This window comes from Homo sapiens, chromosome 9, assembly GCF_000001405.40.
Source record: "Homo sapiens chromosome 9, GRCh38.p14 Primary Assembly".
NCBI classification, from domain to species: domain Eukaryota; kingdom Metazoa; phylum Chordata; class Mammalia; order Primates; family Hominidae; genus Homo; species Homo sapiens.
Window position 1 is genome coordinate 109,996,319 of NC_000009.12, and position 22,771 is coordinate 110,019,089.

The 22,771-nt window shown below is 41.9% G+C and overlaps 1 protein-coding gene across 12 annotated transcripts in view, besides 1 other annotated feature; it reads left to right on the top strand.

Annotated features, from left to right (window-relative positions):
* The window catches only part of PALM2AKAP2 (PALM2 and AKAP2 fusion), a 531,726-nt gene that overhangs the window by 355,532 nt on the left and 153,423 nt on the right, over window positions 1-22,771 (top strand). For all 12 annotated transcript variants that reach the window (XM_047423410.1, XM_047423411.1, XM_047423414.1 and 9 more), the window contains one exon: window positions 19,636-19,721. In XM_047423410.1, the coding sequence (XP_047279366.1) occupies window positions 19,636-19,721 (86 nt within the window). The remainder of the gene's footprint in view (window positions 1-19,635; window positions 19,722-22,771) is intronic.
* Window positions 8,975-9,476: an enhancer, noted in NCBI's record as "NANOG-H3K4me1 hESC enhancer chr9:112767573-112768074 (GRCh37/hg19 assembly coordinates)". NCBI's record gives its function as "activates a minimal SCP1, AML or CMV promoter by ChIP-STARR-seq in naive and primed H9 embryonic stem cells {active_cell/tissue: H9 hESC(naive and primed)}" and the evidence as "EXISTENCE:reporter gene assay evidence [ECO:0000049][PMID:30033119]".

The following is a 22,771-nucleotide window of genomic DNA, read 5'->3' on the forward strand; positions in this document are numbered from 1 at the left end:
TATTTGTGAAATAATTGGAGAGGAAACCAAGTTTTAAGCTATTAGTTCTCTAACCTTTGAGTAGGGAAAAGGAACAGTCCCTTGAACTTGCTGCAAGTCTCATGGTTGCTTAAAAAGGCTTTAATTTCTGAGGACTGGCACAGGCTAGCCAAAACAAACCATTTCCAAAATTAGTTTGGGCCTCAAGGGTCCTGTAAAACTCATTTTAAACAATGTACCATGATCCTTTTTTGCTCTCATTTTGTGCAATTGGAGTCTGCTTCCTTCTTCATATACAGAAGGATGTTTAAAACGCACCTTTGAGGGTAGGGTGTTGAAACACCCAGTTTTCTGACCCACTCTCAGATGCTATGACAGAGAAAAGCTCTTTTCTCCTTCAAGAGAGGTCCAAGCTTCTGAGTGTACTGTGGTAGCTGGAAAGCTATTGCAGCTTCATGCCCAGATATGCATCTGTGTGTGCACATGCACATGGGTGTGTGCATGGGCTGTGCACATGTATGTGTGTGGGTTGGCATGCGTACACACAAGCCTGCACATAAATGTCTAAGAGTGCATGTGTGTGTGCATGTGTGTACATAAGAACATATGGGCCAGGTGTGGTAGTTCACGCCTGTAATCCCAGCACTTTGGGAGGCTGAAGCAGGTGGACCACTTGAATCCAGGAGTTCAAGACCAGCCTGGCGAACGTGGTGAGACCCCATCTCTACTAAAAATACAAAATTTAACTGGGCGTGGTGGCATGTACTTATAGTCCCAGCTACCCAGGAGGCTGAGGTGAAAGGATCACTTGAGCCCAGGAGGTTGAGGCTGCAAGTGAGTCATGATCACGCCACTGCATGCCAGCCTGGGTGACAGAGCAAGAGCCTCTCTTGAAAAAATAAATAAATATATAATAAAGTAATAAAAAGTAAATAAATAAATATTGATTCCATCACTTGTTAGCTCAGTCATTTTAACTTTTGCAAGCCTGTTTTCTCATCTGCAGAGCGGGGATAATATTGTGTCTACCTCATCATGTTGTATGAGGATTAAGTAAGGTAATACACATAAAGGCTATATATAGTACATCCTCTGGATAGTCTCGCTGTCATTACTGCTACTATTGCAGCCCCGCTGGCAAACAGAGCAAGGGGGTTGAGAAGACATGGGGCCACACTGGCAAGACATTGAGGGTTTTATATACACATATATATATTTGAGATCCTTTAACATCCACTCAGAGGCACTCAGAGAGGACTCCCCTACTCAAGGAGAAATAGTTGGGGTTGCAGGAGAGGTTTCCAATAACCTATGGTGAGTTCGAGAAAAATAACTTATCCAAAAGATGGACCTTCCTGTTTCTCAATGAGCTCTCCTAAGAGAGAGCAGAAGAGGGAGAGGGAATTGCCCTCTATTTGGAGGCCGCAGGGCCTGGTCCTCATAGCTATCCTAAGGAAGAGAAAGCTCAGGACCAAGGAAGAGCCACCACCTGGAGTGGGGAGGGTGGGACGGGGTTGCATCCTGCCCTCCTCCTTCAAACCCGGGGCAGAGCTTCCCATCCAGAGGAAGCAGGCCCCATCAGCTTATCCTGGGGTGGGGCTTCCTAAAGCCAAGTGTTTAAAGGCAGATCATTGTTCTGAAGTTCCGCTAAGTTCTAATGCCCACCCTGCTGAGAAATCCTCCAAGAACAAAGTGAGATTTTAAAAATCCACAGGGTTACTTGGAGCCAAAGGCAATTAAGAGGAAGAGAAATAACTGGCCAAGTCTCAATGTGATGGCTGTCTGTGCAGAGACTCTAGTGAGGAAGAGAGCTAACCCCATTCTTTTTGTTGTGATCAAGCAAGATGATTCCCCAGTGGGCCAATCTTTTGCCTATAAAATGGGGTTGATATGATTTTGTCCAGGAAGAAGTCTGGTTTAGGAAAAGCAGAGGCATTCTTGTCTCCTTCAGTCCCAGCTTAGTGGCTACTGACTGTGAGACTTTGACAACTTATTTTCCAACTCAGAGCCTTGTATCTCTCCTTGAAACCCAAAAGGCCGGGCTCCAGACTTCCTCAAAGTTCCTTTGCTGTGTCTATGACAGTGGGCTGATGAAGGTAGAAGCAGGGGTGTGATGAGGACGAGAATAATCAGGATGGATAGGAAGGCTGGAAGGCTGAGAAGGGTATACCAAAGTCCCAGCAAACAAAAGCGAACACTCAATAGCCGTGGAGGGCGCCTCACCATGTCCTCTCCATAAGCCAGGCTACATAGGTCATCATCTGGGATCTTATTTTTCTGAATTGTTTGTGGCTCAGCTCTTCTTAATATGGTACTTTCTGACCAGGGCGGGGGAGTGGGGAGCCTGTAGTCTCAGCTACTCAGGAGACTAAGGTGGGAGGATTGCTTGAGCTCAGGCATTCAAGGCTGCAGTAAGCTATGATTGCACCGCTGCCGTCCAGCCTGGGTGACAGCGAGACCCTGTCGCAAAAAAAAAAAAAAAAAAGGGGGGATAGTCCATTCTAGCTGCCCAATGTGCATGACCTTGTGAGGTAGTAAGAACCATGACCAGGAAAAGGCCATGTCATCCATCAGGTGACTTTGTAGAGGAGGCTTCTGCCCTGATGGGAGAGTAGCTTAGGCAGCCTCGAGGCCCCTTCCACTTCAATTTGGGAAATATTTAATGAGCTCCCACTGTGTGCCAGCCCAGACTGTGCTGACTGAGGCCTGGGGTGGGACAGCAGGGAGGACAGTCCCTATCTTCAAAGTGCTCAGGGTCTGGCTGGGCACGGTGGCTCACGCCTGTAATCTCAGCATTTTGGGAGGCTGAGGTGGGTGCATCACCTGAGATCAGGAGTTTGAGACCAGCCTGGCCAACAAGGCGAAATCCCGTCTCTACTAAAAATACAAAAATTGGCTGGGCTTGGTGGCGTGCACTTGTAATCCCAGCTACATGGGAGGCTGGGTCAGCAGGATCACTTCAACCTTGGAGGTGGAGATTACAGTGAGCCAAGATCACACCAAGATCACACCACTGCACCACTCCAGCCTGGGTGACAGAGCAAGACTGCCTCAAAATAAATAAATAAATAAATAAAATAAAAACAAATAAAAATAAAAAAAATGTGCTCAGGGTCTCACCACCCAGACATGGTCTAGTCTAGTCCACCCATGTGGTTCCTGCCTCTCCAGTTTAGGGGGATGGACTGAGGCCTGGGACCATCTGTTCCCAGTGCCCTCTGCCTTCTCTCTTGTAGCATTCTTCTTTTCTCCTTCGGCACTCTCTGAAGCTCCTGTCGCCCAAAACTTCCTGCCCAGAACTAACACTTCTCATTTAACAAACACTTGGATGAGACTAACTGTGTATAAGCCCAGTTCCTGCCCACAGGTGCTTTGCGTGGAGAACGGCCCGCTGAAGCAGCATCGACCAGGAAGCACCATGAGACACATGTCAGGGCTCTCCCTGCCTAGGCCCTAATTTGTGTCCCACTAAATGGGGCCATGATCAGAACTGTGAGTTCCCAGCAGAGGGTGGAGGTGGAGATGCCACACTGGGGCTGAGCTAAGACACCACCAAGGAGGAGCTGGCAGCAGAAGGCTGAGTCCCAGGATCCCCTGTGTACTTAGCTTACACAAATTTGAGTGTAGATTCTTCCTTTTCTTTCCTTTTTTTTTTTTTTAAAGACTGAAATTTTTGTATTTATTGAATGGACCATTCCATTTTTCTCTATTTTTTTTCTTTTTTTAATTATACTTTAAGTTTTAGGGTACATGTGCACAACATGCAGGTTTGTTACATATATATACATGTGCCATGTTGGTGTGCTGCACACATTAACTCGTCATTTAACATCAGGGATATCTCCTAATGCTATCCCTCCCCCCTCCCCCCACCACACAACAGGCCCCCGGTGTGTGATGTTCCCCTTCCTGTGTCCATGTGTTTTCATTGTTCAATTCCCATCTACAAGTGAGAACATGTGGTGTTGGGTTTTTTGTCCTTGCCATAGTTTGCTGAGAATGATGGTTTCCAGCTTCATCCATGTCCATAAAAAGGACATCAACTCATCATTTTTTATGGCTGTATAGTATTCCATGGTGTATGTGTGCCACATTTTCTTAATCCAGTCTATCATTGTTCGACATTTGGGTTGGTTCCAAGTCTTTGCTATTGTGAATACTGCCGCAATAAACATATGTGTGCATGTGTCTTTATAGCAGCATGATTTCTAATCCTTTGGGTACATACCCAATAATGGGATGGCTGGGTCAAATGGTATTTCTAGTTCTAGATCTCTGAGGAATCGCCACACTGACTTCCACAATGGTTGAACTAGTTTACAGTCCCACCAACAGTGTAAAAGTATTCCTATTTCTCTACATCCTCTCCAGCACCTGTTGTTTCCTGACTTTTTAATGATCCCCATTCTAACTGGTGTGAGATGGTATCTCATTGTAGTTTTGATTTGCATTTCTCTGATAACCAGTGATGATGAGCATTTTTTCATGTGTCTTTTGGCTGCATAAATGTCTCCTTTTGAGAAGTGTCTGTTCATATCCTTCGCCCACTTGTTGATGGGGTTGTTTGTTTCTTTCTTGAAAATTTGTTTGAGTTCATTGTAGATTCTGGATATTAGCCCTTCATCAGATGAGTAGATTGCAAAAATTTTCTCCCATTCTATAGGCTGCCTGTTCACTCTGATGGTAGTTTCTTTTGCTGTGCAGAAGCTCTTTAGTTTAATTAGATCCCATTTGTCAATTTTGGCTTCTGTTGCCATTGCTTTTTGTGTTTTAGACATGAAATCCTTACCCATGCCTATGTCCTGAATGGTATTGCCTAGGTTTTCTTCTAGAGTTTTTATGGTTTTAGGTCTAACATTTAAGTCTTTAATCCATCTTGAATAAATTTTTGTATAAGGTGTAAGGAAGGGATCCAGTTTCAGCTTTCTACATATGGCTAGCCAGTTTTCCCAGCACCATTTATTAAATAGGGAATTGTTTCCCCATTTCTTGTTTTTGTCAGGTTTGTCAAAGATCAGTTAGTTGTAGAAATGTGGCATTATTTCTGAGGGCTCTGTTCTGTTCCATTGGTCTATATCTCTGTTTTGGTACCAGTACCATGCTGTTTTGGTTACTGTAACCTTGTAGTATAGTTTGAAGTCAGGTAGCGTGACGCCTCCAGCTTTGTTCTTTTGGCTTAGGATTGACTTGGCAATGCAGGCTCTTTTTTGGTTCCATATGAACTTTAAAGTAGTTTTCTCCAATTCCGTGAATAAAGTCATTGGTAGCTTGAGGGGGATGGCATTGAATCTATAAATTACCTTGGACAGTATGGCCATTTTCATGATATTGATTCTTCCTACCCATGAGCATGGAATGTTCATGCTTTTGTTTGTATCCTCTTTGATTTCATTGAGCAGTGGTTTGTAGTTCTCCTTGAAGAGGTCCTTCATGTCCCTTGTAAATTGGATTCCTAAGCATTTTATTCTCTTCGAAGCAATTGTGAATAGGAGTTCACTCATGATTTGGCTCTCTGTTTGTCTGTTATTGGTGTATAAGAATGCTTGTGAATTTTGCACATTGATTTTGTATCCTGAGACTTTGCTGAAATTGCTTATCAGCTTAAGGAGATTTTGGGCTGAGATGATGGGGTTTTCTAGATATACAATCATGTCATCTGCAAACAGGGACAATTTGACTTCCTCTTTTCCTAATTGAATACCCTTTATTTCCTTCTCCTTCCTGATTGCCCTGGCCAGAACTTCCAACACTATGTTGAATGGGAGTGATGAGAGAGGGCATCCCTGTCTTGTGCCAGTTTTCAAAGAGAATGCTTCCAGTTTTTGCCCATTCAGTATGATATTGGCTGTGGGTTTGTCATAGATAGCTCTTATTATTTTGAGATACGTCCCATCAATACCCAATTTATTGAGAGTTTTTAGCATGAAGGTTGTTGAATTTTGTCAAAGGCCTTTTCTGCATCTATTGAGATAATCATGTGGTTTTTGTCATTGGTTCTGTTTATATGCTGGATTATGTTTATTGACTTGCATATGTTGAACCAGCCTTGCATCCCAGGGATGAAGCCCACTTGATCATGGTGGATAAGCTTTTTGATATGCTGCTAGATTCACATCAAATAAAATACTGATGTGCCAGTATTCTATTGAGGATTTTTGCATCGATGTTCATCAGGGATATTGGTCTAAAATTCTCTTTTTTTGTTGTGTCTCTGCCAGGCTTTGGTATCAGGATGATGCTGGCCTCATAAAATGAGTTAGGGATGATTCCCTTTTTTTCTATTGATTGGAATAGTTTCAGAAGGAATGGTACTAGCTCCTCTTTGTACCTCTGGTAGAATTCAGCTGTGAATCTATCTGGTCCTGGACTTTTTTTGGTTGGTGAGCTATTAATTATTGCCTCAATTTCAGAGCCTGTTATTGGTCTATTCAGAGATTCAACTTCTTCCTGGTTTAGTCTTGGGAGGGTGTATGTGTCGAGGAATTTATCCATTTCTTCTAGATTTTCTAGTTTATTTGTGTAGAGGTGTTTATAGTATTCTCTGATGGTAGTTTGTATTTCTGTAGGATTGGTGGTGATATCCCCTTTATAATTTTTTATTGCGTCTATTTGATTCTTCTCTCTTTTCTTCTTTATTAGTCTTGCTAGCGGTCTATCAATTTTGTTGATCTTTTCAAAAAACCACCTCCCGGATTCATTGATTTTTTGAAGGGTTTTTTGTGTCTCTATATCCTTCAGTTCTGCTCTGATCTTAGTTATTTCTTGCCTTCGGCTAGCTTTTGAACGTGTTTGCTCTTACTTCTCTAGTTCTTTTAATTGTGATGTTAGGGTGTCAATTTTAGATCTTTCCTGCTTTCTCTTGTGGGCATTTAGTGCTATAAATTTCCCTCTACACACTGCTTTGAATGTGTCCCAGAGATTCTGGTATGTTGTGTCTTTGTTCTCGTTGGTTTCAAAGAACATCTTTATTTCTGCCTTCATTTTGTTATGTACCCAGTAGTCATTCAGGAGCAGGTTGTTCAGTTTCCATGTTGTTATGCGGTTTTGAGTGAGTTTCTTCATCCTGAGTTCTAGTTTGATTGCACTGTGGTCTGAGAGAGTTTGTTATAATTTCTATTCTTTTACATTTGCTGAGGAGGGCTTCACTTCCAACTATGTGGTCAATTTTGGAATAGGTGTGGTGTGGTGCTGAAAAGAATGTACATTCTCTTGATTTAGGGTGGAGAGTTCTGTAGATGTCTATTAGGTCCACTTGGTGCAGAGCTGAGTTCAATTCCTGGATATCCTTGTTAACTTTCTGTCTCGTTGATCTGTCTAATGTTGACAGTGGGGTGTTAAATCTCCCATTATTATTGTGTGGGAGTCTAAGTCTCTTTATAGGTCTCTAAGGACTTGCTTTATGAATCTGGGTGCTCCTGTATTGGATGCATATATATTTAGGATAGTTAGCTCTTCTTGCTGAATTGATCCCTTTACCATTATATAATGGCCTTCTTTGTCTCTTTTGATCTTTGTTGGTTTAAAGTCTGTTTTATCAGAGACTAGGATTGCAACCCCTGCCTTTTTTTGTTTTCCATTTCCTTGGTAGATCTTCCCCCATCCCTTTATTTTGAGCCTATGTGTGTCTCTGCACATGAGGTAGGTTTCCTGAATATAGCACACTGATGGGTCTTGACTCTTTGTCTAATTTGCCAGTCTGTGTCTTTTAATTGGAGCATTTAGCCCATTTACATTTAAGGTTAATATTGTTATGTATGAATTTGATCCTGTCATTATGATGTTAGCTGGTGATTTTGCCCGTTAGTTGATGCAATTTCTTTCTAGCATCGATGGTCTTTACAATTTGACATGTTTTCGCAGTGGCTGGTACCAGTTTTTCCTTTCCACGTTTAGTGCTTCCTTCAGGAGCTCTTTTAGGGCAGGCCTGGTGGTGACAAAATCTCTCAGCATTTGCTTGTCTGTGAAGTATTTTATTTCTCCTTCACTTATGAAGCTTAGTTTGGCTGGATATGAAATTCTGGGTTGAAAATTCTTTCCTTTAAGAATGTTGAATATTGGCCCCCACTCTCTCCTGGCTTGTAGAGTTTCTGCTGAGAGATCAACTGTTAGTCTGCTGGGCTTCCCTTTGTGGGTAACCTGACCTTTCTCTCTGGCTGCCCTTAACATTTTTTCCTTCATTTCAACTTTGGTGAATCTGACAATTATGTGTCTTGGAGTTGCTCTTCTCGAGGAGTATCTTTTTGGCATTCTCTGTATTTCCTGAACCTGAATGTTGGCCTGCCTTGCTAGATTGGGGAAGTTCTCCAGGATAATATCCTGCAGAGTGTTTTCAAACTTGGTTCCATTCTCCCTGTCACTTTCAGGTACACCAATCAGATGTAGATTTGGTCTTTTCACAAGTCCCATTTTTCTTGGAGGCTTTGTTTGTTACTTTTTATTCTTTTTTCTCTAAACTTCTCTTGTCACTTCATTTCATTCATTTGCTCTTCCATCACTGATACCCTTTCTTCCAGTTGATCGAATTGGCTACTGGGGCTTGTGCATTCATCACGTAGTTCTCGTGCCGTGGTTTTCAGCTCCATCAGGTCCTTTAAGGACTTCTTTGCATTGGTTATTCTAGTTAGCCATTCATCTAATATTTTTTCAAGGTTTTTAACTTCTTTGCCATGGGTTCGAATTTCCTCCTTTAGCTCGGAGTAGTTTGATCGTCTGAAGCCTTCTTCTCTCAACTCGTCAAAGTCATTCTCTGTCCAGCTTTGTTCCATTGCTGGTGAGCTGCATTCCTTTGGGGGAGGAGAGGTGCTCTGATTTTTAGAGTTTCCAGTTCTTCTGCTCTGTTTTTTCCCCATCTTTGTGGTTTTATCTACCTTTGGTCTTTGATGATGGTGATGTACAGATGGGGTTTTGGTGTGGATGTCCTTGCTGTTTGTTAGTTTTCCTTCTAACAGTCAGGACCCTCAGCTGCAGGTCTGTTGGAGTTTGGTGAAAGTCCACTCCAGATCCTGTTTGCCTGGGTATCTGCAGCGGAGGCTGCAGAACAGCAGATATTGGTGAACAGCAAATATTGCTCCCTGATCATTCCTCTGGAAGTTTTGTCTCAGAGCAGTACCCGGCTATGTGAGATGTCAGTCTGCCCCTCCTGGGGGGTGCCTCCCAGTTAGGCTACTCGGGGGTCAGGGACCCACTTGAGGAGGCAGTCTGTCCATTCTCAGATCTCCAGCTGTGTGCTGGGAGAACCACTACTCTCTTCAAAGCTGTCAGACAGGGACATTTAAGTCTGCAGAGGTTTCTGCTGCCTTTTGTTTGGCTGTGCCCTGCCCCCAGAGGTGGAGTTTACAGAGGCAGGCAGGCCTCCTTGAGGTGCGGTGGGCTCCACCCAGTTCAAGCTTCCTGGCTGCTTTGTTTACCTACTCAAGCTTCAGCAATGGCAGGCACCCCTCCCCCAGCCTCGCTGCCGCCTTGCAGTTTGATCTCAGACTGCTGTGCTAGCAATGAGCGAGGCTCTGTGGGTGTGGGACCCTCTGAGCCAGGCGTGGGATACAATCTCCTGGTGTGCCGTTTGCTAAGACCATTGGAAAAGTGCAGTATTAGGGTGGGAGTGACCCGATTTTCCAGGTACCGTCTGTCACCCCTTTCCTTGGCTAGGAAAGGGAATTCCCTGACCCCTTGCACTTCCCAGGTGAGGCAATGCCTCACCCTGCTTCGGCTCATGCTTGGTGTGCTGCATCCACTGTCCTGCACCCACTGTCCAACAATCCCCAGTGAGATTAACCCAGTACCTCAGTTGGAAATGCAGAAATCGTTTGTCTTCTGCGTCACTCATGCTGGGAGCTATAGACTGGAGCTGTTCCTATTCGGCCATCTTGGCTCCACCTCTTTTCTTTTTTTTTCTTTCATTCTTTCTCTCTATATCTCTTCTCTTTCCTCTTTCTCTCTTTTCCTCTCGCCTGCCTGCCTTCCTTCCTTCCATTTTCTCTCTCTCTCTTCCTTTCTTTCTTTCCTTTCCCTCCCTTTCCTTCCTTCCTTCTCTTTCTTTCTTTCTTTCTTTCTTTCTTTCTTTCTTTCTTTCTTTCTTCTCTCTTTCTTTACAAGATCTTACTCTGTCATGCAGTGTTGCAAACACAGCTCACTGCAGCTTCTACCTCCTGGGCTCAAGTGATGATCCACCTGCCTCAGCCTCCCAAGTAGCTGGGAATACAGGCTTAGACCTATGCCACCATGCTCAGCTAATTTTGTTTGTTTGTTTTTAGAGATGGGGTCTCGCCATGTTGCCCAGGCTGGTCTTGAATTCCTGGGCTCAAGTAATCCTCCCACCTCAGCCTCCCAAAGTGCTGGGATTACAGGCATGAGCTACCATTCCTGGCCCTGAGTGTGTATTTCTAACTAAATTAATGAGAACGAGAGAGAAAAAAATATAAATTTATATAACATAAGTGATTCTGCCTGCCATTCCAATCTACATGTGCATCCTCTTGTGACAGACTGACTCTACTAAGTGCTTAGCTGATGGCCCCCTACCTATTCCTGTCGTTGCTAGTCAAGATCCTGTTTCATTCCTTTTTTCATCCTCCAGGTGGCCACATCCTCAGGGAAGGCTGAGACCTTCCTCAACCCAGGGTTTATTCTTGGTTCATTAACTCCAAGCCAGTTTTGATGATTCTATTCCCTTTCCCTTATTGGTTTAGGAGTAGGTTTATGCTGTATTTTTGATCAGTGAGACTTTGGGGGTTCAGCTTTGGTGAGGGGTAGGGGGTGCTTTGGGGAAAGCTTCTTTTTTCTTAAAAAGGGAGGAGAGGAGAATCCTCCCTTTTCCTGTCTCTGAACATTTTAATGACACATGGAACTTCTGTGTCCATCTTGGGACATCAGAGAAAAGCCAGGAGAATTGCAGAGAGGTCAAACTGAGGCCATCAGGGCATTGAGCCACTGAATTAGCCACCTCTGGTGCCATACTACCTTGGGACTTGTTATATGAGCCAATCAATCCTCTGTTGTTTAATGCCCCATTAAATAATCTTTCTACCACCTGCAGGTAAAAGCATTCTAAATGATACAGTATGAGGATGACTGTTCCCACAGTTGGTCTCAGCATCTTGTATCTCTCAAAATCTGAGCATCAACAAATCCCAAGAAATTCTAGAGTTTCAAGATACATATTTTTGTACAACATGATTCTTAGTACAAGCCAGCAACATCATCTGGTATTTAACATGAGAAAAGGAGGTCTGTTCCTAAGCTGGAACTTTTGGGTTTTAGTGAGGTATGACACTATATTGTACTTATTGGGAGATTTAAGGAATTTTCAAGGGGAGTTTTGACTATGCAAACTTCTGCCTTTTCTCTTTAGAACCTAATCCTTTTCTGAGATGCCACTGTAGGGAACTGAAAGGAACTTTCCCTTTCACCCTGTGAAGGTTCACTGAAAAATCAACTCACGAAAGGCTAATAATTGGTGGAAAGACGTATAAATTTATTTAACATGTGCATGGGAGCCTTCAGAAGGAATACCCAAAGATAGAGGTGAAATTGCCCATTTTTGTACTTAGTTTCAACAAAGTTTGGACAGCCATGTAGATCTAAAAAGGATATAATCTAATGTTAATAGACAGTGAGGAAACCCAGCAAGGCCTGTCTGTCTAGATTCTTCTTCAGCATGCATCCTCTAAGCATGCATTCCTTCCTTCTGAGTGTGAGGCAGGACCCCTTCTGGAATGGGGGCCTTATGACTATAGTCAAATTAGGTAGGTCAGATAATTTTTCATGGCCAGTTGTTACACAGAAAGGTGGTGGGAAAGTTTGAGTTATACCTGTAGGTTTTGTGGCTGGCTCTGGGGGAATAAAGTGTTCTGGTTTCTGTGACTACCCTTTGGGGAACAGGGGTTCTAGTTTCTACGGCTAGCCCTGGGGAAGAATGAGAATGAGAGACAGGAGGACAGAAGAATGTCAGAGAAAAACTGTTGTTTCTGAGGTTTTCATTTTAGGGTATGTTTTCTGAGTCCCAACACAACTAAACCGTGCAACTGGGCACAGTGGAAACAGAGAGTGGCCCAAAAGAAGTATAAAGTATGAGCCATTCAAGACCAGCCTGGGCAACATGGTGAAACCTCATCTCTACAAAATTAATAATAATTATTATAATAATAATTAAATTTATTTAATAAAAAAGAAAGTATGGGCCATTATAACCTGGTTGAGGAGAAAAAACTTAAATGGCAGGATTGATTTTGAGGCTAGAACACAGCAAATTTATCCAAAGGAGTCTCTATCATGGGACTTGGAGGTTGATGGGGAAGGCGAGTCTAGAAGGACTCCTTCTTCCCATGAGGCTGGGCTAGGCTATGCTGGTGTAATAAACAATCCCCAATCCTGTGGCTTCAAACAATAGCAGTTTAGTTCTCACTCATATTACATGGCCAAGGTGGGTTGCTTGTGTCTCTGTGCTGCATTGCCCTTACACTGGGGCTTAGGCTAACAGAATTGCCACTATCTAGGATTGCCAGTTGCTGTGGTAGAGGGGCAGGGTCATGTGACCAGTTCTGGCCAATGGGTGTGGGCAGCAGAGACATCTATTACTTCTGGGCTGGAGCATTTAACTGCTGATGTAGGACACCTTGCTGCCCACATCCAATGGCCAGAACTGGTCACATGACCTCAGCAACTCTAAGGAGGCCAGGAAGTGAAATCCTGTTACATGTCTGCAAGGAGAAAGAACTGGGAATATTTGCATGAGCGGCATTAATGGCCACCAGTCACCCTCTTTGTCCAGTGATCCATCTAAAATCTGTGTAGACAATGAGCGAGAGCAAATTTCCACTCTCTTGCACATTCGGGTCCATTCAGACTTGTCTTTCTCTCTTACTCTGTTTTCACGTGGTGGTGCCTGGTGATTACAGGGAGTGTGGGTACAGTCAGTGTCCTTCCATGCGTGCCACTCTCTCCCTCTGAGGCTTTGACCCTTTAATTTTACTTTTACTTTTATTTTATTTTTAGTACTAACCAAGGTCAGAGCTAAGGAAGTCACCCAGTGATTTTTTCTGGAATGCCATCCATTGCTGCTTCACCAGGTCTCTTTAGCCGCCTGACGCCTTCATTGTTTACTGTTACATTGTCTCCCTTTGTTCAAAGATGCAAAGTTGGCCGGGCGCGGTGGCTCACACCTGTAATCCCAGCACTTTGGGAGGCCGAGGCGGGTGGATCACGAGGTCAGGAGACCGAGACCATCCTGGTTAACATGGTGAAACCCTGTCTCAACTAAAAATACAAAAAATTAGCTGGGCGTGGTAGCGGGCGCCTGTAGTCCCAACTACCCCAGAGGCTGAGGCAGGAGAATGGTGTGAACCCGGGAGGTGGAGCTTGCAGTGAGCTGAGATCACGCCACTGCACTCCAGCCTGGGCAACAAAGTGAGACTCTGTCTCAAAAAAAAAAAAAAAAAAAGATGCAAAGTTATTTTGTCTACAGGGTACTCTACTCAAACCCTCATGGCTTCCTGCTACCAGCCCAAATCCCTCTCCCTGCAGATCCTCATGTGTGTCCCTGGCTTCTCCAGCTGGGGCCTGAACTCAGCTCCTTTGTTCTGGTGGCACACCTCTGTCTGCCCTCACATGCACTCTTCCCAACAGAAGTTAGTAGCAGAGAGGGCAGCCATGTAAGTCAACAGAGCACGCCCTGTGAATGGAGACACAGATGTTGGCGCTAAGGAATTGGAGCCTGGGCTAATGGACTTATTCCTCTGACTGTGCAGCTAGGTGAGAGGGTGTATAAAAAGCAATACAAAAAATGTTATGGTGGTTGATTTCATTTATTTCTGAGAGGTCTTTATAAAACTGTCCCTGATGGATATTTATAAACATAACCTCAGCTACAAGTAGACAGGTCTCAATTTCTCCTATCGCAGGGAAATGCAAACTTATTCTCTTCTTTCCTCAAGGTTTGGTCTTGTATTTTAAAAATGGAATAAAGATTGTAGTAATGTTGCTAGGGATTATAGGAATAATATAAATGTAATTTCTCTTCTCAAAGACATTATAAGTAAGAATTTCAGCAAAGGGAGAAGAGGAATGTAAGAGGAAAATGGTTGTTTGAAAGTGCAGTATATAGAAGTATAATATCTATTTCTATATATAGAGATAGAATATACAATTAATATACATACTATATATATAATATGTATTATACATACTATATATGTATAGAATAGTTAATATAGCAATATATAATATAATTATATAAATTCTCTACATATATAAATTCTATATATAGAATATATAAATTCTCTATATTTCTATATGTTCTATACATTCTATTCCATATATTCTATTCTATTTATATATTCTATAAATATATAGAATACTTAAATTTATAGAATACTTAAATATATTTTAAAATACTAAAGTATATTTATAGAATGTATATACTTTTGGGCTGGGTACGGTGGCTCACGCTTGTAATCCCAGCACTTTGGGAGGCCGAGGCAGGTGGATCACCTGAGGTCAAGAGTTCGAGACCAGCCTCAACATGGAGAAATCCTGTCTCTACTAAAAATACAAAATTAGCCGGGCATGGTGGTACATGCCTGTAATCTCAGCTACTCAGGAGGCTGAGGCAGGAGAATTGCTTGAACCTGGGAGGCGGAGGTTGCCATGAGCCAAGATGGTGCCATTGCACTCCAGCCTGGGCAACAAGAGCGAAACTCTGTCTCAAAAAAAAAAAAAAAAAAATATATATATATATATATATATACTTTTGTATATAAGTATACAAAAGTATATTTATAGAATATATAAATTATATATTTCTCTATATATTCCATATATATTCTCTGTCTAGAATATATAAATGTATATATGTGGAGAATATGTGTAATTTTTTATATGTATGGAATATATATATTAATTTATATATGGAGATAATATATATAGGATTTATGTATATTTCTATTATATATATATATACTTTTTTCCCCAAGTTCTTAGGTCAGATTCTTTATATAGGTTCTTCCCCTACAACCAGAGGAAACTGTGTTTTTATAACTAATAATAGAAATACATCAGCCTAGAATATGTGTCTTTTACAATTGAACATCTAAGCTTTGCAAATGTTGGTGCTATAGTTATAAACCATGGATGTTAGTCGAGGGGAAACTCTTCTCCGGAACTCAAACATGAAAGCTGATGTTAAAAGTCATTGCTAAAATTCTAGAGCTGAGGGGATTACAAATCAGCATTCTAAGCTATCCTCCTACCCACTGGTCCAATGCATTACATGTTGGCAGAATGGAAATCATTTTGGAAAAGGGAAGTGGCATTTTCAGATGTATAAACATCTTCCTATAAAGAAGTGTCTGTCATTTTCTATCTCCAAGTTCTCAAGAAGACAGGGTCTCCTGCCCCTTGGTATCCAAATAAAATTGGCCTGTAGTCTACTGTGCGCAGTGTGTGGGTTAAGTGCTTTCTCCAAGATTCTTAGCATTGTGTCCTCCTTCGACTCCACATTCTCCGGGAGCTCCCATGGGCACACAGCTGCTCTCTTGTTTCCATCCCCAAGTCCAAGTGGGATGTCATTCAGCTTCCAACAGACAACTCTAGCACAAGATACTGGTGTAGAACAGATCTCCACCATAGGTACGAGAGTGAGGGAAGAATTACATCATGACACAGCATAATAAATACTTTAAAATGAATTTGTAAACATTGCTGTTCTGAAAAGCCCTTTTTAGGCTGGGCACGGTGGCTTATGCCTGTAATCCCAACACTTTGGGAGACTGAGGTGGTTGGATCACTTGAGGTCAGGAGTTAGACCGGTCTGACCAACGTGGCAAAACCCTGTTTCTACTAAAATTACAAAAAGTATCCGGGCATGGTGGCGGGTGCCTGTAATCCCAGCTACTTGGGAGGCTGAGACATGAGAATTGCTTGTGCCTGAGAGGCGGAGGTTTCAGTGAGCCGAGATAGTGCCACTGCACTCCAGCCTGAGTGACAGAGCGAGACTCTGTCTCAAAAAAAAGAAAAAGAAAAAGAAAAAGAAAAGTATTTTTTTATTACCCCCTGGTAATTTCTTACTGCCAATTTTTGCCCTAATTTCTTTCAATTTCTTTCCCTCTTCTGACTGCACCTCTTCCTTCTTATCTTCCTTCTGTGATGTGGGACCCACATTTTCACACCCAAATGGTCCATAGAGTTGCTTTGTTCTCCAAAATACAGTTTTCTCCTTGGAAGGAATTTTACCTCTAGCTTTTAAAATAACATTTCTGTTCTTACAAACTTATCATCAGGATTAATCACATTTTTAAATTAAAATGTTATTACTAAAACACTTAAAACTAAAATAGCATTTTTAAACTAAAATGCTATGTCTGTTTTCTCTCACTCTTGTTATGAAATGTTTCCTAATGTGAAGTGTTTTCTTGATGGAAGACTAAAATATTGAGACAACATATATATTTATGTCTCACATCTCCTTCTTATGGCCATATAGCCTTTAATAAAGGTAGTGTTGCTTACAAAAGGAATGATTGTATAATAGCAGAGAAAAAATTCTTTCCAAAGTGAAATAATAGAGATGATAGAGATGAAAACCAACACTTGTGAATGAAACTTTTATATGCAGAATTATATTAGCATAGTTAAAGGTAAAAATACTTGATCCATAATGATTTTCATTTATAATTTTGGTTATAGATTGTATCTATTAGCTATTGTTACAATAATGCTGCTTGACAAACCATCCCAAAACTCATTGGCTTTCGTTGTCATGCATATGCAGTTGGCTGGGGCTTGGCTGATCTAGACCTGGCTTGGCTTCCAGGTGCAGATTGGATCCAGATCTGCTCCCCAGGACTCTCATCCACTTGCAGGCTGACTGGGGCTTGTCCTTCTCATGCTGTAGCAGAGTGCAAGCCTCACCTCTTAAGCCCATTTCAAACCTTTGCTTGCATTATGCCCTCTAACATCCCTTTGGCCAAAGCAAACATCAGTGAGACAGGGAAGATCATTTCTCCCACAGCAGGAGAGGAGGAGAATGAATATTTGCTGAACAGTAATTCAGACTCTTACATAAGTGAAGTATCATCTGATTGTCCATCATGCCCAACATCTGTGTCTCTCTGCCAGCCAAATCCAACAGGTATCAAAAGTGGCTTAAAGCAGGAGGGGTTATTAGTCGGTTAAAAGCAAAGCATGTCAAGGAAATAATCTATTCATGTAGGAGCAAAGATTTTTCTTCTATAAACTTGCATTTAAGATAAAGCTGACAATCTCCTTGCAGCAATTCCTTGAGAAGAAAGTGTAGAACAAGGCACAACACTCCTCTGACCCAATTCCTGCAACCTAGTCAGAGAGGACAACTATTTGCACCATGAATTGAATTATAGCCAAACAGGTCTTGAGTAATTCATTGTGCATATATCCTATGAAATGAAGCTCTCAAGGACCCAGAATGTAAACTTTAAAAAGTAACCAGTGTTAATACATTAAAATTTCATTAATTTCGTATTAATTTACTTAAAGCATCATGTAATTTCAAGTAATTATTAGTCATTCATCACCTTTTGTTCAGTTGATTCTTACTAGAAATGCTGGAGTATGGCAATCTTACACATCTCTGGGTTCTTGATTTAGCACAGAGGCTGGTAGAGTACATCTCATGGGACAAACTAGCTGTTTTTGTAAATAAAGTTTTATTGGAACATACTCATGCTCATTTGTTTCTATGTTGTCTGTAGCTGCTTTCACTCTACAAGGGCAGATTGAGAAGTTGCAACAGAAATGCTATGAACTCAAAGCCTAAAATATTTACTATGTGACGAGCAGAAGAAAGATGGCCAATCCTGATTTAACATAATGCTAGACAGTTGAAATTTTGGAATTTGGGTTATTCACACAGTTCTGGGATGAATATTGTTCTTGAGCTATCCTTAGATAACTATCTAAATACTTAGAGAAAAGTATTTTTTTAGGAAAATCAATAATGTAAACAAATATTACACAGATAATTTTAACCTCCTTAAGAAAATAATCTTTTTAATACATTAGGTTATGAGCACTTATTTCTAAACAGTTATTATACCAATCATAAAATTTGTATTTGCTTGTTAAAGGAGACTCTGAAAAACTCTATCAAATATTGCTTTATTAACCTTTAAGGAGATGATTATTCTTGCAATAAACCTACGGTTTTTAAAAATATACACTTGCCAGTTGGGCACAGTGGCTCACTCCTGTAATCCCAGCACTTTGGGAGGCTGAAGTGGGCACATCACGTGAGGTCAGGAGTTCGAGACCAGCCTGGACAACATGGTGAAACCCTGTCTCTACTAAAAATACAAAAATTAGCTGGGTGTGGTGGCACATACCTGTAATCTGAGCTACTTGGGAGGCTGAGGCCAGAGAATCACTTGAACCTGGGAGGTGGAGGTTGCACTGAGCCAAGATTGCACCACTGCATTCCAGCCTGGGCGACAGAGCGAGACTCTGTCCTCTGTCTCAAAAAAAAAAAAAAAAAAAAAAAAATGTATATATATATATATATATATATATATATATATATATATATATATACACACACACACATATATCTTGCCATTTCTTCAAACTTTTCACCAATGTAGATCATTTTAACTCTATTCACGTACATAACTGCATCTGAATTAGTACAATTTTACTATATTGTGTTTAAAGATATTTCAAAACACCACACTGGCCCCTGATCTTTTCTTTGATATTAGAAAAAACAAAATCTTGTGTCTTGCCGGATGTCCACTCTTGGAGACAATCGGGTAGCTTTAGAAGAAAGAAACATTAGCATTTCTAAAGACTTGGAGAGAGAACATGGGCAGATTTTAAAAGTGACGACACATTCTTAGTTATTTCCAGTAGATATATTGAGAACACAGAAAAATCTGGAGTCATATCTATTGGGTATTGAATTAGATGTGTGTATTTCTGTGTTCTGGGATTCACTTTAAAGCCCCAAATGAGTCTCAATATGAGGCCTGAACTGGAGAAGAAGAAGAGTTCGTGGAGAAGAACAGAAGGGTGGCTTACACCTGTAATCCCAACACTGGGAGGCCAAGGTGGGTGGATCACCGGAGGTCAGGAGTTCGAGACCAGCCTGGGCAACATGGTGAAATCCCCATCTCTACTAAAAATACAAAAATTAGTCAGGTGTGGTGGCGGGTGCCTGTAATCCCATAATCCCAGTTACTTGGGAGGCTGAGGCAGGAGAATTGCTGAGGCAGGAGGCGGAGGTTGCAGTGAGCCGAGATCATGCCATTGCACCCCAGCCTAGGCAACAAGAGTGCAACTTGGTCTCAATAAATAAATAAATAAACAAACAAATAAATAAAAATGAAAAGAAGAAGACGAAGAGTTCATCCCAGCCTCTTCTCCACCCTGGGCTAGGAATAGCTCTCTATAAGATATAGGATTTAGACAATGGATCCTAAATTGGAGATTAGGTAAAAACAAAAGAAGTGCTCCAGGACTACACTTCTGAAAGGAAGTTTTCCTAGCCCAGTAACTGCAAGATAGGTATAGAGCTATAGGTCATCATCAGCTCCCTTTACAAGTCACATGGGATTGTAATCTGAGCAATAACAACTGTGTATCCATGTCAGCTGAATGACTTGGCTCAAATGGCACTTCTTTTTTTTCTTTCAGGAGTCGGGTGGGAGAATGTGCTGCTAAAGGAAGGTGAGTCAGCCTCGAACGCCACAGAAACATCCGGCCCAGACATGACTATCAAGGTAAGGGATTCTCTTCAGGTTGATTCTCAAAGTGTATCTCTAGAGTAAAGGCAGCCGATGGCAGGTTTTTCTGGGGGCAAAATGAACACTACCAATCCACCTTGCTAGAGTTCTCTCTCTACTCACTGAGGTCTTAGGGAGGCAACCGTACATAAGATTTTCTGAAATTTGGGATCTGGTCTACAGCCGTACCACCCTGAATATGCCCGACCTCGTCTGAAACTTGGGATCTGGATTAGGAAACTGCTTGAAAACCAGAATCTAAGATGTGATTTCCAATGGGCCTGTCGTAGGGTCTTCAGTGAATATCTACACGTAAGCTATTTGTAAATGGTAACCCCAGTGGGCACAGTGGAGCAAATCTGAAAATTCTGATCTGAGAATTCAGGCCCCACTGTGCATTGTGAGGAAAGGTCAGAGAGGCATAAAGTAGCTTTGATCTTGGCTCAAGATTTCCACTGATGTCAGCAGGAAGGCAGCACATGGCCCACTCCAGCTGAAACACTAATGGCCAAAGGTTTACAAAATGAGTCATCTAGAAATCCACTTAACTATCACTGTTCAAATTAAATGCATCAATTTGTAAGCACTGGCCAGAATAAAGAATCTGTAGCAAAAGTTATCAGAGGTGCCACCATTTCCCCTCTGTTACGGGATTAAACACAAAGGAATGATCTTCCTCTCTTAGAACTCTGCTAACATATTAGTTAACAAAGGATGGGGGTGGGAGGGCTTTCTAACATTCTTGCTTGAATGATTATAATTTGAATATATGCTACTTATGAATTTTTCTTTGAAAAATAAGAAGTAATGTCTTATTTTATATAGAGCTGTAACTGGAGATATTTCTTTTTTTTTGAGACGGAGTCTCTCTCTTTTGCCCAGGCCGGAGTGCAGTGGTGCGATCTCGGCTCACTGCAAGCTCCGCCTCCCGGGTTCATGCCATTCTCCTGCCTCAGCCTCCTGAGTAGCTGGGACTACAGGCGCCAGCCACCGTGCCTGGCTAATTTTTTGTATTTTTAGTAGAGACGGGGTTTCACCGTGTTAGCCAGGATGGTCTCGATCTCCTGACCTCGAGATCCGCCTGCCTTGGCCTCCCAAAGTGCTGGGATTACAGGCATGAGCCAAACTGGAGATATTTCTCTCCTGGATCTATTAGTAGAAGTTGTACAAAAGAATATACAGCATGGATTTATTCAAGTTTTCTTTTGTAATGTGAAGGCTAAACTTGTGTTGTCTATGTTACAAATGGTAGAGAAAGCAAGCAAATGTTACCATAGTAAAGCTAAATGAAAGATAGGATAGTAGCCTGATTAGTCAAAAAGTCAACTAATCTAAGTGGTAACTATCCAGTGCTGAAAGAACTATCACTACGTTTAGCAGAATTTGTAAGACAATAATATAAATTGCAATGACATGTTGGTGTTTTATTGGCTATTATTGCAATGATTGACAAGTTTCAGTCTATGACCACATTGGACGAAGGGGAATGGGTGCCAATAGTAAAACCTGTTGGATTTAGATTTGTTATCTCAAAATCTGTTATCATCTGGAGAATTAGTTTTTGAGAAGAGTTGCTAGTGGGAGAGAAGACAGCATGTTGCCAGTGTAGCTGCAGATGTGGTACAGACAGACATTCAAGTAGTCAGAAAGACTGGAGTTTGCTTTTATAAAGCAAACGGCATATTCCTTTTTTTTTTTTTTTTTAAGACGGAGTCTTGCTGTGTCGCCAGGCTGGAGTGCAGTAGCGCAGACTTGGCTCACTGCAACATCCGCCTCCTGGGTTCAAGCAATTATCCTGCCTCAGCCTCCCGAGTAGCTGGGACTACAGGTGCTGGACACAATGCCCGGCTAGTTTTTGTATTTTCAGTAGAGACGGGGTTTCACCATGTTGGCCAGGTTGGTCTCCATCTCTTGACCTCATGGTCCGCCTGCCTCAGCCTCCCAAAGTGCTGGGATTACAGGCGTGAGTCACCGCTCCAGGCCACAAATGGCATATTCTAATAGAAGCAAGTCTTGTCCAAATCCCATTTGATAAGATTGCTACTTAACCAGGCTACTCATCCATGGTACCAGGATCTTGACTGAAGTTGTATTTGGGTCCCTCTAGTTTAGACATCATTCTCGATCTCCGTTTCTTTTTCTTTTAATGAATACCTGAAAATTTCTCACAAGAAAAGATTTCTTTTACCCCTGCCCTACCCCAGGAAGATTTTTCATCCATAAGAACTGAACTCATTCTGAGGAATAAATACCATACACTTTAAATAGTTGAGCAAAATAGAAATTTATTTCTTTATTCATTTTGAGGCAGAGTCTTGCTCTGTCACCCAGGCTGGAGTGCAGTGTGGCATGATCGTGGCTCACTGCAACCTCCACCTCCCAGGTTGAAGGGATTCTCCCACCTCAGCCTCCCAAGTAGCTGGAATTATAGGCATGTGCCACCATGCCTGGCTAATTTTCGTATTTTTAGTAAAGATGGGGTTTCACCATGTTGGCCAGTCTGGTCTGAAACTCCTGGCCTCAGGTGATCTGCCCGCCTCAGCCTCCCAAAGTGCTGGGATTACAGGTGTAAGCCTCTCCACCCAGCCAGCAAAATAGAAATATATTTAAACACATCAATAAACCCCTACAAATATTCTAGAGTTCTTCTCTTAATGCCAGTTCCTTCTCACTAAGGAATTTGTGAATTTTCTAGGTGGATATAACTACAGAAAATGCTTGTTTCTATCTTCTCCTTTAGGATTCCCAATTACGGAGCAGTCATTGACTTTTTTCCTTTGGGTATAAGTTGTTTCCCACCCCACATTGCCTTACATAACCATGATGTCTTTGTATCTAAATGAAAGTATTATTTTTTCTGCTCCACTTCGTTAATCAGAGAAATGCAAATTAAAACCGCGATGAGATACCATCTCACGACTGGGCATGGTGGCTCACACCTGTAATCCTAGCACTTTGGGAGGCCAAGGTGGGTGGATCACAAGGTCAGGAGATCGAGACCATCCTGGCCAACATGTGAAATGCCGACTCTACTAAAAATACAAAAA